We start from the raw sequence: 15,410 nt of genomic DNA on the forward strand, positions 1-15,410 counted from the left end.
CAGGAACTTGCATTCTTTCTTTCAATGGACAAAGCTTCCACATCAAGATACGCTTGTGTGCTGGGACCAAATGCCACAGTGCGGCGAAACTCGTGAGCACAAGTCCTGCGTGGGAAAGGCTTAGCATCCTTGAGTGACCTCTGATGAATTTAAGTCAAGGAACACTGTCAGGAGCCACTTCTGAAGGGCCCCAGACAGGAAAGACACTGGGCCGGGGGAGCCGGGCCCCCAGGGCTCGGGCCACCTGCTTGCAAGAGGGGAAGGGCCACTGGCACTGGGCCCCCGGCACTGAGGCTCTGTGCTGGCGAGGGCCCCACAGCTGCAAGGAATGTTCCAGAACCACTACAGCCACAGGAAGATAGGGAGGGGGTGAAAAGAGGGGCAAGCTCAGGTGCTTTTCCTGAGCCTACTACAAACCGGCCCGTCATTTAGGGTGGAGGGGACAGCAGCACCTTGAGTGTTCTCACATGTGCCGCCTTCCCACTCCAACACCCACGGCCCACCCAGCCCCTCCCGGAGTGCCAGCCATGGCTCTCTGAACCCTGTGGGAGAATCTGGCATTGAAGGGCCGGGGACAATAAGTTCCCGGGCTTTGGCCTTTTGTAGGAGAGGAGGAATTGAAACTTGAAACCCAGGACCCAGCGCCTCATTTCTAGAGGGTGAGGCAGAGCCCTGAGGGGAGAGCTGTGTGGAGTGGAGCTGTTGGGTGCCCGAGAGGCTGTGGCTCACCGCAAGCTTTAGATGGAGTGATCTGGGTGGAGGCAGCAGTTTTGAAATTGAGCATTCTAACCTTTCTGAAGACTCCATTGATTTGACCTCAGTGGACTCACAAGGGTCTTTGGACGGGACAGCCCTGAGGCTGGGCTTGCTTTCCCCATAGATGATGCTGTCCCTGCCGCCCTGTGCCAGGCACCTCCCAGCAACTCCCAGGGGGCCACTGTTTCTCCTCTTCAACAAGGAGGGGCGCCTCAACAGCCTGGCTAGAGGCCCCTGGCCAGACCCAAGCAGGACGCTGGCGCTCCAGAAAGCCAGCGGGAACATTCCGCAGCTGCTGTCCTGTCTCAGGGCCGACCCTGTGTCCAGCTTGTGGGCACCTGTCTTCACTGGCAGGCACCTGTCTTCACTGGCCAGCTCCTCGGGCAGGCACTCCCCGCAGCTGGAGCATGGGCTCCTCTCTGCCCTATCAGCACAGCCACCCATTCTCGGCTCTTTAAAACAGATGTTGCAACAAGCAAACATCTTTGTGATGACACAGTGATGTTATCGTAGCTGTATAAACAACCGTATGGCCTTTGGCCTGAGATTCCGGAAGCTTCCTGAAGAGCACAAAATGCAGGTCAGGCCATGTCCTGCAGCCCTGGCTAAGCTCAGGGGTCAATCAGTTCCAGAAGCCAACAGCTACCCCAGGCCTTGGAAGAGAGAAAGGAAAGTTCTAATTCAATACATCCCAAACCCATCTCTGGATGTGCCGCTTCATATCTAGACCTCCTCTGGGGTCCCCTAACTCAGAGAAAAGGCTCTGTCACCCACCACTCATGCTGTCAGGACCCCGGGCACCAACACCACCCGCCCCACAGCCCACCTGGCGCCAGGTGCCGCTGCCTCCTCGGCTGCACATCCCCGCCGTACACTTGTCTCCCCATCGGCTCCTCCCGCCCATGGGACCTTCGAAGACACTGCTGCCTCTGCCTGAAGTACTTTACCTTCCCCCCTTACCTGACATTCAATAACTGCTTAGTGCCCTTAAAAGAGCTGCACTCTCAGGAGCAGAGTTTTGTGAGCATAGCAGGCTTCCAACTGACCCCTGGTTCCTCCCTCATCCTCCGTAACCCACCCGCCACCTGCAGTCAGAGTGACCACCTAAAACCCACTGCTTGCACCTGCCGTGGCGTCCAGGGCCCTCAAAGTCCTGCCTCATGCCTGCAGCCCACAACACCCTACCCTACCCACTGGCTGGACAGCCCATGCCAGACCGCTTCCCTCTCCACACCAGACTCCAACCGCCCACCCCACCCTACCTCCTCTTCTAGAAAACACCAGGCTCACATCCCGCTCAGAACCTCAGCCACGGCCACTGGGGAGGGTCCAGCCAGTGCCTTCCCCGGGTAGGGGCAGCTCCCCTGGTGTCCAGGCACTCCCTTGTCAAGGCCACAAGCTTCAAGGCAGTGGGACCATCCAGGACCGCATCCTAGGAGGCTCTCAACAAGCACGTGGCAGGTGACGGCACCCGCAGACCACGGCCTGCACCCATGGCAGAGACCCTGCTGCCACTCCAGTGCGTGCCAGGTGGGCCCTGACAACAGACCCACTGGGTGATGAGCCTGACTTCCCTACCTGCACCTCCCTCACAGCCAAAGCCTGGCCAACAGCAGGGGCCACAAGGCCTCCAAGCAGAAATGCTCGGCTCTGAGCTTGCAGCCCACCCCACTCTGGCTGCGGGACTTTGGAGCAGCTTGGGCTTTGAACGTGCTGCCCTGCATGTAAAGGGGCACGCTGGGAAAGGTGGGCATTATGGAGATTAAAGGAGAACATGGTGCGCACAGCTCAGCGCTGGACACTAGATCCCTGCCTGCACTCCCGAGGCCGTGGTGCTCTGATGACATCCATGGGCAGTGAGTTCAAAATGCTGGAAGGACAACACCACAGCACCATTACACGATGATAAGAAAGTTCTCTGCAAGTCTACTTACTCTCGGTAAATGAATTACATGTCAGAGGCCGCATTAGACTATTTTCCACAACACAGCCGGCCCGGTGAGTAGACTCTTGGAAGTAGGTTTCCCAGAAGCTGAAGAAGCACAGGCCTCTGTTTCTGCATCACCGACTCAAATAAGACCCACTGTGGCTGTCAGGGCTGGGCCCTGGAGGTCTTTAAAGTTAAAGGTGCTGTCAGAGCACCCCATCTCAACAAGGGAGGGCCGCTCCTGAAGTCCCCGCCCTTCCATCAGAAAGCCTCTCAGGACAGAAGGCAGAGAGGGAAGCGGCCGCAAAGACCCATGGGTGCCGAGGGTTCCCAGCACGGCCAACAGGGCCCTGCACACTCACAGGACAGTCCTTGTATTGGAGACAAACAGCTGTGCCGGAGAGGGGTCCTGAGACAGCAGCTCCGGTGGCCACGTGAAGGTCTGAAGCCCCAAGCGTGCCCAGCTCCAGGATGGGGTAAGCAGCGGGGGAGGTAGGGCCCTGGTGGCTGGGGGGCCGCCAGGAGCAGCGCCCAGGCCAGTGCTGCCTCTGCCGCCCGGCCTTGCTGCCCGAGCGCACGCTGTGTCTGGGGACAGTCCGGCCGCTGCCCCGGCACCTATACCTGACACTATCTTCCTGTGGAATTAGCCACCTGAAAAGTCTCCTGCCCAGGGAAGTGCAATGCTGACACTGTCCATTTTCTGAAGAAATGAAAAGAAGAGAAATGCTGCCAGAGAGCATGTGGCACAGGCGTGGTGAGTGCATTCTGCCAGCCAAATTGGGAACGTGGCACTGATGACGGCCCCAACGACGCGGAACCAGGCCTGCCCCACCCGGGGATCCAGGAATGCGGATGCTGGGGCAGAGCACCTCCTGCTCCGGGGACGCTGTGCTGGCGGCGGCAACAGCGTGTGACACCCAGTGAGGCATTTCCCCCACCCCGCCCGGCCTCTCTCTTCTCCCCTGTAAAATGGAGGGAAAGACCAGCACCTGACAGGCCCTCTCTGCAAAGAACACTAGTGTGGGAGAAGCCACATTCGGTCACGTTTCTAGGGCTTAAGGTCACCCCGGAAGAGAAAGGACCTGGCAGGTCCCAGGATGGGTGCGGAGGGTGGGATGAAGGGCACAGTGTGGGAAGGAGCGCCGGAGACAGGGCAGGGACAGCCAGGCCGGGAAGGCCTTGGCTCTGGGCTGAGAGTGTGGCCCCTCGCGCCAGAGGCAGCAGGGACCCCTCAAAGGTGCCTGGGCTGGGACACGCAGGTCCCCGTGAAGGCCACGCTGCAAGTTGGTGGGGGGAGGACCATGAGGAGGCCGGTTTGGTCCAACCTAGTACTCCCTGGACCAGATGACCAGCTAAGTCCCCGAGGTCAAAGGCTTGGATCACAAGGTCACCACTGGATGAAGAGGGCACATTAGGAGGGGCTGCTCCAAGAGGGCCGCGCAGCTACCTGGAGTCGGATGCCACGTGGGGGAGCACCCAGCAACAGCAGGTGGGCGGACGGCTGGCACTGCGGGACCCACACCGAGTGGTCGGGTCACCTGGCCACCTGGCATCTTCCAGACAAAGAACCCTCGAGCCAAGGTGCAGGCAGAGACCCAGGGACCATGGGGGACCCTCCCCCATCAGACACAGAGCCACTGTGGGCCCTGCCCAGCCCACTACATTGACAGGCACAGTAGGAAACACTCTTGCCACACGGCACCGAGCCATGGATCCCACTAGGAAGTTACTGCCACATGAGACTGCTCTGTGTGCGCGAAGGCCCAGTACACAGCGACGCCTCTCAACAGCGCCTGGTGAGGGCAAATGGCCCGAGATCAGGAGACCCCACTTCAGTTCTTTACCAAGGTTCTCCTCCCTCCATGGGCACTGGAAGGTAGTGCCTGGGTAACCAAGGCTCCAGGTCACGTAGCACTGCCCAGGCCCAGTGAAAATGGCAGGAACAGTACATTCCAGTGGGGCCAGGCCCCACACGCCAAGTGCCCGACTCAGGCTCTGCATCTCTCCTCTGCCGCTGGCCTACAGAAGGGGTCTTCAGGGGTGAAGCTGAGCCTCCAATGGATTATATCATCTGCCTAAGCTCATACAGATGCTAGGGACTGGAGGGGGCGGGGGAACCCCCCTCAGGCTCCCACACATGGGGCCGGGGAACCTCAACAATCCATCACACGCCAGCCCCGCTGCTCTGTGCGCCATGCTTTGGCCATGGGCTGGTTCACGTCCAAGGCTTGGACAAGATGACAGCAAATGTCCCCTTCAGCTATAAGCCTTTATGGTTTGAATTAGGGACAGATGGGAAATCCAGCTGCCACCCTTATATACTGCTGTTTGTAGCTTTGATTATAACAGATGGCCAGAAACACCCCAAATGCCCAAGCATGGAACAATCACGCCAAGGCCTCAGGTGAAGACAGGGAATGCTGCTGCTGCAACATGAACGCACACTCAGTGGCTCCCAGGTGAGCACTCAGGAGCTGCAACGTGAACACACACACTCAACGGCTCCCAGGTGAGCGCTCATGAGCTGCAATGGGAACACACACTCAGTGGCTCCCAGGTGAGCACTCACAAGCTGCAACGGGAACACAGACATTCAGTGGCTCCCAGGTGAGCGCTCACCAGCTGCAACGGGAACACAGACATTCAGTGGCTCAACACAGACATTCAGTGGCTCCCAGGTGAGCACTCACAAGCTGCAACGGGAACACACACACTCAGTGGCTCCCAGGTGAGCGCTCGCGAGCTGCAACGGGAACACACGCACTCAATGGCTCCCGGGTGAACGCTCACGACCAGCTTGGGCTGGACTGGCGTCTCCTTTCAGTGGTTGCCACTTTCCATGGTGTAGATGCTACCACCCCGCCCAATCTCAAGCTGCTGAGGTGACGTCGCTGAACAGGAGTGGAGAGGAGCAGCAGCCAGCGCTGAGCGGCACCTCTGCCCCGCAGGTACAGCAGGCAGACACACCAAGGCGAAAGGGAGTCGGGCATTAGGAAGTGCTAAGTGCGCGTTAACTTTGCTAACCTAAATCAACTGTAAGCAAGTAACTTTTTTCACAATGGATGTGTTAACGGCCAGCCCGCAAAGTTCTTGAAAATTTAAGCTGGCTCTCAGGAGCCAGGATGAGCTGGTTCCAGCACACAGCTGGGCTGCAGACATTCGTTCATTGTACCCTGCCTACTGCCACACACTGATTTAGATGTGGCTTGAGAATGCTATTAAGTTAAAACTAGCAAGTTTTTGGAAATTAAGGAAAAAATGAATTCTTACTGATGGTTACTATTGCAGTTTATCAATAAAGATCTTGGGTATTTAAAAATTAAAAAAAACACAGCCAGGTGCGGTGGCTCACACCTGTAATCCCAGCACTTTAGAAGGCTGAGGCAGATCACTTGAGGCCAGAAGTTCGAGATCAGCCTGGCCAACATGGTAAAACCCCACCACCTGCAGCAAAAATAGAAAACAATTAGCCGGGCATGGTGGCAGACACCTGTAATCCCAGCTACTTGGGAGGCTGAGGCACAAGCATTGCTTGAACCCGGGAGGCAGAGGTTGCAGTGAGCCAAGAGTGCGCCACTGCACTGCAATCTGGGCAACAGAGTGAGACTGTCTCACAATAAACAAATAAATAATAAAATGAAATAAAAAACCCTCTAACAATATCTCCCTTTATGACACTTCTGCCCAAGACGGCAGGCCCCTGGGAAACGGCTATGGAGCGTGGCACCCGTTTTGCTGTGCTTTTCCCGTTTTGCTGGTGCAGGGCCTTGGCTAGGCAGGTCCAGCAGGTCTGCGGCTGGACCTGACTCTGGGCTGAGCTGAGCTTCAGAGGCCAGCACTAGGGCCCCATGGTTGAGTGGAGGCTGAATTCCGAGTCTGAATCCCAGCTCTACCATCTACTAGCTCTGTTGAGTGTCCGTTTCCTGATCTGCAGAAATCTGTAAACATCATCACCAGGCTTTTATGAGAACTGAGTCATCCTGAACAGCTCACTGTTGGCATAAACCATTAGCGAATCGTCGCCAACATCGGGGCCTGCATCGCTCACCTGAGGGAGTGGGGACTGTTCTTCTCTATGTCCACTGAGGCCTAATTCACATCTCGTCCCTCGGAAACCTCAGCCCTAGCCTGCTGGTGCTGGTGGAAGGCAGCCTGGTTTGAAGGAAAAGTGCTGGCCTCCAATTCACATTCTTCATTCACCGTCAGGACCTCAAGGAGGTCACCTTTCCCTTTGGAGCCCTGGTTTCTAGAGACAGAGGCCACCTCCTCGTGGGCCTAGCTTGGGCTCTTCCCAGGACTGAAGGGTGCGGGGTGGGCTTCCTGGCCAGTGTGGAAGAAGGGCGTCCGTTGTTTGTTCCCTGCTCATGGCTGGCAATTTGAACCCTATTTGCTACCCCATTTTGACATTTCCCTTTCCTGTTACTACATTTAGCATCTTTCTACCCAAACAGGGTCGCAGGTGGCCTGGCTTCCCCAACAGGACTCCGTGTGCACCAGCAAAGGGTCCAGAGGTGGGCAGGGAGTGTTACTTGCCAGCTTGAACCTACCCCAGGTCCTGATGCAGTCTGCCTGCCGTGGGATATTCTCCTGCGCGCTGCCAGGAGAGGGCCCTTAGACCCTGTCAGGGCTGTGGCGGTGGCCTGAGGTGACCTCCCTGATAACTACACTGATGACAACAGGCTTTGGAGAGGTCTCGACTGGCACAGGAAAGCTGGACACAGCTCACCTCCACGTTCCGCTCTGGCCCCTCCCCCCAGCACAGCCAGGCTCCAGCAGGACTCGACCTCCTGGGATTGCGTCACTGTGAGCTTTTGCTCCCCAGCCTGGAACGGCTGTCCCCCTTGGTGACCATGATACTGGCTGTTTAAATGTGTGTCCCCGCGCTGGTCTGCCTTCCCCGAGGACAGGAATGCGCCCGCTACCTAGCAGGTGCTCGGAAGGCACTCTGCAAACCGAAACTGACTCTCCAGCACTGGGTTTGTTGCTTCATCTCCGAGTGAAGGTGCAGGTGACCACGCTCAGCTCTCCACCCACAGGAGCCATGGCTTGGCTTGTTAAGGCTTGTCCAAGGTTGTCACACTCCGAAGCCCCCGACCCACAGCAGCAGCAGTACTGAAAACCAGGTGATATGAAACCAGCAGGGAACGGCACTGACTGCTCAAATGCCACCCCCCTTCTTCATGCAGGTGAAGCAATTTAAATGCATGAGACACACAGGCGGCCCCATTTATAAATCATGAGCGTCAGGTTACCGTGAGGGGCATTTCAACCCAGGGCACAGCGGGTGTGTCTGTAGAGTGCACTTCCGGTGTGGCTGCAGTTAAATCATGCTCGGCTGTCATGGTCTAGCAAGGGTCACGGTGACGAGGAGGACGTATTCGTATTCTGGAGAATATGAAGGACCAAAGACCCTCTGTGAACCCCACAACGATTCTAACGTAAAGCTTATAAGAACTGGTGAATTATCCGAAGAAAGCACAAAGCCACAGGGAGCCAGGCTGGCCTTGGGCTTGGCAGAGAATGGGGAACTGTTTCAGAGCTTAGGTGTCAGGCCCTGGGTTTACGGAAGAGGGAGAGAGGGGCAGGCATTGCACAAAACTGCTCCGAGGTAAAAAACAAAACAAACCATGCCGTCAAAACATAGGCAGCAATTCTCATTAGTCACGTTCTCGAATGAAAAATTTAAGCGTGTGCATGTTCAAAAAGTTAAATAAACAACTGGACTGAAATGTACGAAACATCAGAGTTGGCCAGGCGTGGTGGCTCACGCCTGTAATCTCAGCACTTCGGGAGGCTGAGGCGGGCGGATCACCTGAGGTCAGGAGTTCGAGACCAGCCTGGCCAACATGGTGAAACCCCGTCTCTACTAAAAATATAAAAAAATTAGCCGGGTGTGGTGGTATGTGCCTGTAATCCCGGCTACTCAGGAGGCTGAGGCAGGAGAATCGCTTGAACCCGGGAGGTGGAGGTTGCAGTGAGCCGAGATCACGCCACTGCACTCCAGCCTGGGCGACAGAGCAAGACTCCGTCTCAAAAACAAAAACAAAAACAAACATGAGAGTGAGTGCCTGGATTCTCCCCTGCCTGCGTAGAGCCTGCAGTGCCGACTGTCCCTGAGGACTTTTGTCCCTAACACCAAAGCCCAGGCACTGGCTTCCCAAGCCATGTTTAACTCAACATGTAGGCGTCCAGAGAAAGCCGTCCCTGGATCTTCCCTCTCGCCCAGCCCTGACTGCCTTCAAACTGGAACTCAAACTCTCAGTTTCCCCAAAGTTTTCCATTGTGTAACACATCTACACCCAAATCCTCACATATCAAGTGTCTAACAGTTACTTCCAACTCAACATTTAATGTTTCTGTGATGTTCCCAAATAGTTCACAAGCTAGAAAATACGTCTGCACATCCAAGTCCATGCTTCACTTTAAAAAGGGGGCAAACAACCTATTCTGCACCCAAAGACAAATCCTATTAACATACTATTGACATAGTTACACATGTACCTATCCTTCTGTAAGATCTAAATAGTCCGTTTTTTTTAAATGACAAAATGACCATCATCTGGGAAGCATCCTGCTGGTGGACACCTTGTATACTGATTGCTTTTAATGGCAAAGTAACTGCCGCATTTTATTCTAAAACTTACTTTCACAAAAAGCCCACTTATTTCCATAATTTAACTTTATTTTGATACATGTTTTAGGGAAATATTAAACATTTATGGAGTAATTCCCTTGAGAACAGTGCGCCCTTCCTCAGAGAGCCACTGGGCGGTGCCCAGTGGATGAGGGCGCGGAGGGCTGGCCAGAGGGTAGCACTAACACATGGCCCACAGATCAACACAAACCTCCATCGGTCCCTGAGCTAGCTGGTATCCAGTCCTATCAGTTCAAACACATTTGTGCTGTTTTGTTAATATTTAATTTCCTTTTGGCTTTTGTTAAATGATCATTTTTCGGCAGAAATAATTGATTTTTTTGGTCTTAATTCAAATGTGTATGGTTCATGTTCTAAGATTTTGAAAATTATAGCGATCTAGTAAGTTTGGAAATTGCCAAAATATGATATATTGCTTACTATATGGGATTTAAAAACTACTGTTACTTTACCAGTGCTCATATGCACAATATTGAAAAAAGGCAGAATCGCTCAGGTTTCTCTGTAAATCACCTCCCTGGAGTGGCACGTAAGGCCTCCTGTGATGTCGTCCTTCCCTGCCTGAAACACCACTCTGCACTGAGCTCACAGACTTCTGCCATGCTAGACTAGTCACCACTTCCATAACATGCCACAGTCTCCCCACCACACCACAGCCCAGATTGTGCCCAGGGCCACCCTTGCTTCACTGACCCCTAGTGACCCCTTGCAACTTGGGGGCACTGCCTCCTGGCTTCCAGCCCATCTTTCTGTCTGCATTGCGCTGGGTGTCCCTCTGCCCTGTTCCCCTGTACTCCATGCTTACCTTTAGAAGCGAGCAGGTAATGCCTCATATTTTAACCGTCCTTCCTAATCTTTCTCCTCCAGACCTGGAGGGCCTCCAGGGCAAAAATCACAACCCTCACCCCAAAGCCACACGGTGTCCCTCACCGCCGCCCTCCATGCCTTCCCCGAAGTGGCGCTCCACGATCCCTGGAGCGAGTGCTCAGCAGGCCAGTGTCTCCTCTCAGCACGCTTCTCACCTCACCGAACTGGGAGCGCCAGGTCACGTGCTCGTATCTCCAAGTGAGCTGGAGGCCTCAGGCTGCCCGTTTCACCTCCAGCCCTGGGCACAATGCCCAGCATCCAGCAGGTAGGTGCTCCGTAAGTACTTGACGAAAGAATAACAGGCGTGTAACTCTTTGGGAAAAATTACCATAGTTGACATTTTATTGTTTAAAAAATACAATGATCTGAAATGCAAGGAAATCCAGGCTTCCCAGTCTAAACAAAACATCCTTGCACAAGAAGTTTCTCAACTATTTTGGTCAAGATCTCCTGAATGCTGTCCAGCCCACATACGTGGTTCTCCCTCTAGTGTGCGGTTAGCTGGCCACGGGCCACCTGTGCTGCTCCGTGGACGCCTAGGACTCCTGGGCAGCAGACGCGTGCCCGAGTCTCCGAACCCTCTCCCACTGGACTAGAGTGGGCAGTCGCAGCTCCAAGCCTGGACCTGCGTCACCATCAAGCTATAAGTCTCCAGTCAGCAGGGAATCCAATTTTTAGCTTTGTAAAGTCGCCCCTTTTTTTTTCACATTTTTATTGTGATCAAATATACACAACATCGAATTGACCTTTTTAATCCCTGTGAGCGCACAGCTCAGGGGCGGTGAGCGCACTTAGACTGCCGTGCAACCATCACCACTCACCCCAGAGCGACGCCATCTTCCCAGACTGAAACTCTGTCCCCACAAAACATGCACTCCTCTTTCCTCCCCCAGCCCCTGGCCTCCGCCATTCTGCTTTCTGCCTCTATGAATCTGACACCTCCAGGGCCCTCCTATGAGTGGAATCACACAGCTTTTCACCGAGTCTATCCAGCTGTGGCCATTCACAGTCTTCCCCCACCACCGCATCTCCCCCTGGCCCCTGGAGGGCAGCAGGCTCCAAGCTCTCCAGCCTCTTCCAGCATCCACCACCCATTCCCCACAGAGACCTGCTCACTTTGTAACTCTGAGGAGCCCTTGAGTATAGATTTACGTAGCACCCTCCCCAATACCAGGCATGATGCTAGACGTGGGGTGCCTGCACCCACAGTACAGCTGCCAGGGGGCCGGCGCGGGGCAGAGCAGGCTGCCCCGCCCTGAGGAGCTGCAGACACGCAGCCCCATGAAAGCCCAGACTGTGGGAGGTGCTATGAAGGGCGCCTGGGAAACCCCAGTGCCAGGTACTCTTCTAGTAAAGTCTCCCCAGGTTCCTCAACAGCAGTTTCCAGCTCATCCGAGTTAGTATAGGGAGGAAAGAACCATCAGACCAGAAGCATGATGGAGAAAATTAACCACCCGGCTGCTGTGAGCCAGGGCTGCTGCCTGGGCCACGCGGTGAATTTCTGCAGGGTTCACTCTAGTCCCCAGATGCTTGCTGTGACAAAGCCCTACCAGGTTACCCACGTGACTGCGGCAAACATGCCCCTTAGGAATTATTCCTGCCAAAAAGGAAACTGTTTAGGGTTAGCTAGGTGCTGAGTGTGGTTTTTCAAAACAGGAAGACAAACCAAGAGCGTGCTATCCACAGACATCCCTGGGTCAGTGGGTGTTTTCAGACAAAACAAAATAGGTTTACTGAACCCCTTTCAGAGTGTCATTACACACAGAGGAACTCCTAGAAAGGCATCGAGTGTACCTGAACTGCAGAAGTGCACTATTAAAATACTTGCCAACCTCCCAGGCAAGGGAATTGCAACACAGCTCAGCTTCCGAGTTTCACACAGTTGCCCAGTTAGATACATCCTGCAGAAGGAAAGTAACCAACTGCTTAGTCACCTGCTTAGCAAAGTAAGTGCTTACTCCAGGAGGGTGCAGGAGCAAAGCACACACACACACACACACACACACGCACGCACACACACAGCATCATGAGGTGCATTTTCACCTGAACGTGGTAGGAATGTGTTTCTCAATTCTTGCCAAAGATGTGTTTTCAGGTGGATTTCAACACTAAGCTATGGTCAGTTGCATAAGACGGCTGCCGGTTTTAGAGACAACACGCTGAGTTCCTAAGAAGGGCTGGGCTCATGAGACTGGGCTCTGGAGGGCATGGCCTCTGCAGGTGACTCAGTGCGGGGCTGAGGCCTGGTCATCTCTGCACACCTGCTCCCACCAGCACCCAGCATAGAATGGTCAGGGCCCCACACAACCCAGGGAGTGGAGGGCAATGACCAGCACTTAATGTATGTTTTAAAACTTCCAGTGTTTTGTGTGAGGCAGGCTTTTCAAGAGTAGACTTTTCCCAGAGGAAGAAAAGGCGAGCTTCCAGCTACAACAAACCGTATCCTAGGAATCTCGATTCACACGAAACGACAATGAAGAATGGAAAGTCTGGTGTTTTAAACAAATGGACAGATATAAAGTGAGCATAGCTTTAGTCATTACGCCCAGCCTCCTGAATTGAGACGGACAAGAATAAACCTGACTTCCCCCACAAATAAATCTGCAGACGTCACTTATTCATTCTCGGATGTTCTATTGCTCACGATCTTCGTCGAGTGGAGAGAAGTTAGGCTCTCACGTTAATCCAGTTCTAACTCATGAGTCAAACTGAGACTGCAACAAAAGAACGCCCCTTTTTTCTTTTACATGATTTTCCTTTTCCCCTGAGTATACTTCCTGAACCAAGAAGAAAACAATCAACAGGAGGGGAGACTGGACTTCTCCTTCCCGAGGGAAAAAGGCTACATGGGAAAAACACATCCCAGCGGGAAGGGGTGCTCCAACGGAGCTGAGCGTGACTCAGAGACTGGGGGCTGGCTCTTTGGAAAGGTCGGCTCCCAAAGAGTTCCAGAGCAGCCTGGTTCCACAACACGCTTTTAAAAAGTGACCACAGGCCAGGCCCAGTGGTGGGGACAGTGCCTGTTGTCCCAGCACTTGGGGAGGTTGAGGTGAAAGGATCACTTGAGCCTGGCAGGTAGAGGTCAGAGGTTGCAGTGAGCCGTGATCGCACAACCACACTCCAGCCTGGGTGACAGAGCGAGACCCTGTCTCACAAATAAATAAGTAAAATGAGAAACCGGCTGCCCGACACTGTGATTGGATCCTAGCTCTGAGACACCACACGCATCACCTGCCGTGCTGCAGTGGAGACGCATGTGGATGTGCAGAGTGGGGCCTGCAGGACGCTTCCCAGACAAAGCCCTCCTCTCCCCTCCAGACCGTCCTGTGAGGGCAGCTGGGGGCAGCCGCCCGGATCCATGGGAGGGGGAGTATCTTCCTGGGTCTTGACTAACATCGGGGCCACTTCACACCCTCCCGCTCTCCCCGCTTTGGGGCGCTGTGGGCCTATGGGCACCGGTTTGTGGGTGTGCTCTCATCTCCTTTATGGGACTCAGCCTGGGGCTAAGAATGTACATATTTTTAAAAGTCTCCTCCAGAAGTGCATCGTTCAATAAATGGTGTGGAAATGTAGTGCATAACACACACAGCGTCACAAACGGCCAGGCTGCGGTGAGCAGTGGCTCTGCGGGCAGGCGGAGCAGCAGCACAGCCAAGAAGGGCGACAGACGGCTCACCGGCAACGTGGTGGACACAGAACCAGAGGCTTTATCTGCACTGTTGTTCTCCAAGAGTTGCTCTGGGGACAGTGGCGAGGTCCAAGGACGCTTGCCTATGGTGCGACTGTGTAGAAGCTGGGGATGTTGCTGCCTTCGGGGAAGGGAGATGGGAGGCTGCGGGACAGGAGTGGACGGAAACCTCGCTGTCTGCCCTATGGTAACTTCTCAACTCTGAACTTGGTGAAGGCGCTGTCCATTTAAGAAAGTAGAATTCATATTTTAAAAACAGTGCCTTTGCATCCATTACAATACAGTCAAAGAAAAAAAAAAGAAAAACAGCTTCCCTTTTGAGTCAGGTCTGGGAACCGCTGGTGGGCTGGCTCTGTGGGGCAGGACCTGCTCAGGGGATGGTGCTGACAGGGTCCTCTGGGGACAGGTGGGCTGTCTCTCCCTTCACAGCCAGCCAGAGGTCTGGGCACCCCCACTGCCTCCAAGCCTTTCCTCCCAGGCCTGGGAGCCCAGCAATCCCCCCAGCACTAGGAGGGACCACTGCTTCTGCTCTAGAGCGCCTTCAGAAAAGGACGTGGCTGTGTGGAATCAAGGATTCAGGTCCCATCCTGGCCAGGCAGAAGTGGGGGCAGGGCCATTCCTGCCGGGACACAGATGGCAGCTGTGAAGGCATGGTGCATACAGGGACAAGACAAGGGAGTGTATGGTGGCCTTCGCACGGACAGCGGGACAGCCCGAATCTCCAGGTCAGACAGAAAAGAGCAGGCAGCCCTCCTCATGGCTGGGAGCCTATCCTCAAGCTCCCTGCACAGATGAGATGAAAAGAGAGGCGCATCCCGCCAAGTGTGGCCATCATTATACGCACATTTAGCCGAGATCACAGGGAACAACTGGCAACTGAAAATAAAAACCCACAGACTCAAACTTCACCGTGAAAGAAAAACAAAATCCTCCACAGCTAAGAGTGATGACCAGGACGATGATCAAAAGGCCCAGAGTCTTCTAAATAATCCAGCTCATGTGACAGATAGAATTTAAGAAATAAAATAAGTACTGGAATCACCGTGATTTTTAAATTTCTTAAACCTAGGTATCTAATAGGCCAGGCCCAAGTGACTTCCACAGCGGGAATGAACGTGGCTCCTGGCTGTGACAATTCTACATTGTTTTCCCACAGAGGATGTTTAGACCAGTGGGGGAAGTGCTGTGATTAGAAACGCGGGCTCCAGTATCAGAAAGAACACCATACTCCCCCATTATCAAGAACGGGCGAGACAGTGCTGGGAAAAGAGCCTGAGGGTCTCATGAGAATACAAAGTTGCTCAGTTCGTAGCTTGCTGCAGCTCCCGTGGTACATCGGTGAGTGCCCCAGATAACAAGCCCAACACTGACCCTGGACAAGTCGCTGAGTCAAACTCCTCCATTAGGCAGCTTGCCACTCCCTGCTCTCACTCACAGGCTGCTGGGAAGAGAGCCGGCAGATACTGTCTTCCACGAGCACCTCAATGCACAGGCCCGAGACTGGAGGCCACACGTTG

At 54.3% G+C, this 15,410-nt stretch overlaps 1 protein-coding gene across 28 annotated transcripts in view, besides 6 other annotated features; it reads right to left on the bottom strand.

Moving 5' to 3' along the window:
• SLC45A4 (solute carrier family 45 member 4) overlaps positions 1 to 15,410 on the bottom strand; it is a 101,115-nt gene that overhangs the window by 20,215 nt on the left and 65,490 nt on the right. For 4 of the 28 annotated variants that reach the window (NM_001080431.3, XM_011517174.3, NM_001286648.2 and 1 more), the window contains exon 1: positions 791 to 1,186. The exons of 20 other annotated variants lie outside the window; for them this stretch is intronic. In NM_001080431.3, coding sequence (NP_001073900.1) covers positions 791 to 878 — 88 coding nt within the window. In that variant the 5' untranslated portion in view covers positions 879 to 1,186. Of the gene's footprint in view, positions 1 to 790; positions 1,187 to 2,690; positions 6,295 to 7,935; positions 8,206 to 10,143; positions 10,372 to 15,410 lie in introns of those variants that run through there. 4 more of the 28 variants (XM_011517177.3, XM_047422006.1, XM_047422014.1 and 1 more) reach the window with 3 other exon arrangements.
• Positions 416 to 1,269: an enhancer, noted in NCBI's record as "H3K27ac-H3K4me1 hESC enhancer chr8:142237903-142238756 (GRCh37/hg19 assembly coordinates)". NCBI's record gives its function as "activates a minimal SCP1, AML or CMV promoter by ChIP-STARR-seq in primed H9 embryonic stem cells {active_cell/tissue: H9 hESC(primed)}" and the evidence as "EXISTENCE:reporter gene assay evidence [ECO:0000049][PMID:30033119]".
• Positions 2,126 to 2,981: an enhancer, noted in NCBI's record as "H3K4me1 hESC enhancer chr8:142239613-142240468 (GRCh37/hg19 assembly coordinates)". NCBI's record gives its function as "activates a minimal SCP1, AML or CMV promoter by ChIP-STARR-seq in primed H9 embryonic stem cells {active_cell/tissue: H9 hESC(primed)}" and the evidence as "EXISTENCE:reporter gene assay evidence [ECO:0000049][PMID:30033119]".
• Positions 2,982 to 3,837: an enhancer, noted in NCBI's record as "H3K4me1 hESC enhancer chr8:142240469-142241324 (GRCh37/hg19 assembly coordinates)". NCBI's record gives its function as "activates a minimal SCP1, AML or CMV promoter by ChIP-STARR-seq in primed H9 embryonic stem cells {active_cell/tissue: H9 hESC(primed)}" and the evidence as "EXISTENCE:reporter gene assay evidence [ECO:0000049][PMID:30033119]".
• Positions 10,837 to 11,396: an enhancer, noted in NCBI's record as "H3K4me1 hESC enhancer chr8:142248324-142248883 (GRCh37/hg19 assembly coordinates)". NCBI's record gives its function as "activates a minimal SCP1, AML or CMV promoter by ChIP-STARR-seq in naive H9 embryonic stem cells {active_cell/tissue: H9 hESC(naive)}" and the evidence as "EXISTENCE:reporter gene assay evidence [ECO:0000049][PMID:30033119]".
• Positions 11,397 to 11,955: an enhancer, noted in NCBI's record as "H3K4me1 hESC enhancer chr8:142248884-142249442 (GRCh37/hg19 assembly coordinates)". NCBI's record gives its function as "activates a minimal SCP1, AML or CMV promoter by ChIP-STARR-seq in naive H9 embryonic stem cells {active_cell/tissue: H9 hESC(naive)}" and the evidence as "EXISTENCE:reporter gene assay evidence [ECO:0000049][PMID:30033119]".
• Positions 12,995 to 13,977: an enhancer, noted in NCBI's record as "H3K4me1 hESC enhancer chr8:142250482-142251464 (GRCh37/hg19 assembly coordinates)". NCBI's record gives its function as "activates a minimal SCP1, AML or CMV promoter by ChIP-STARR-seq in naive H9 embryonic stem cells {active_cell/tissue: H9 hESC(naive)}" and the evidence as "EXISTENCE:reporter gene assay evidence [ECO:0000049][PMID:30033119]".

Source organism: Homo sapiens, chromosome 8 (assembly GCF_000001405.40).
Source record: "Homo sapiens chromosome 8, GRCh38.p14 Primary Assembly".
NCBI lineage: Eukaryota > Metazoa > Chordata > Mammalia > Primates > Hominidae > Homo > Homo sapiens.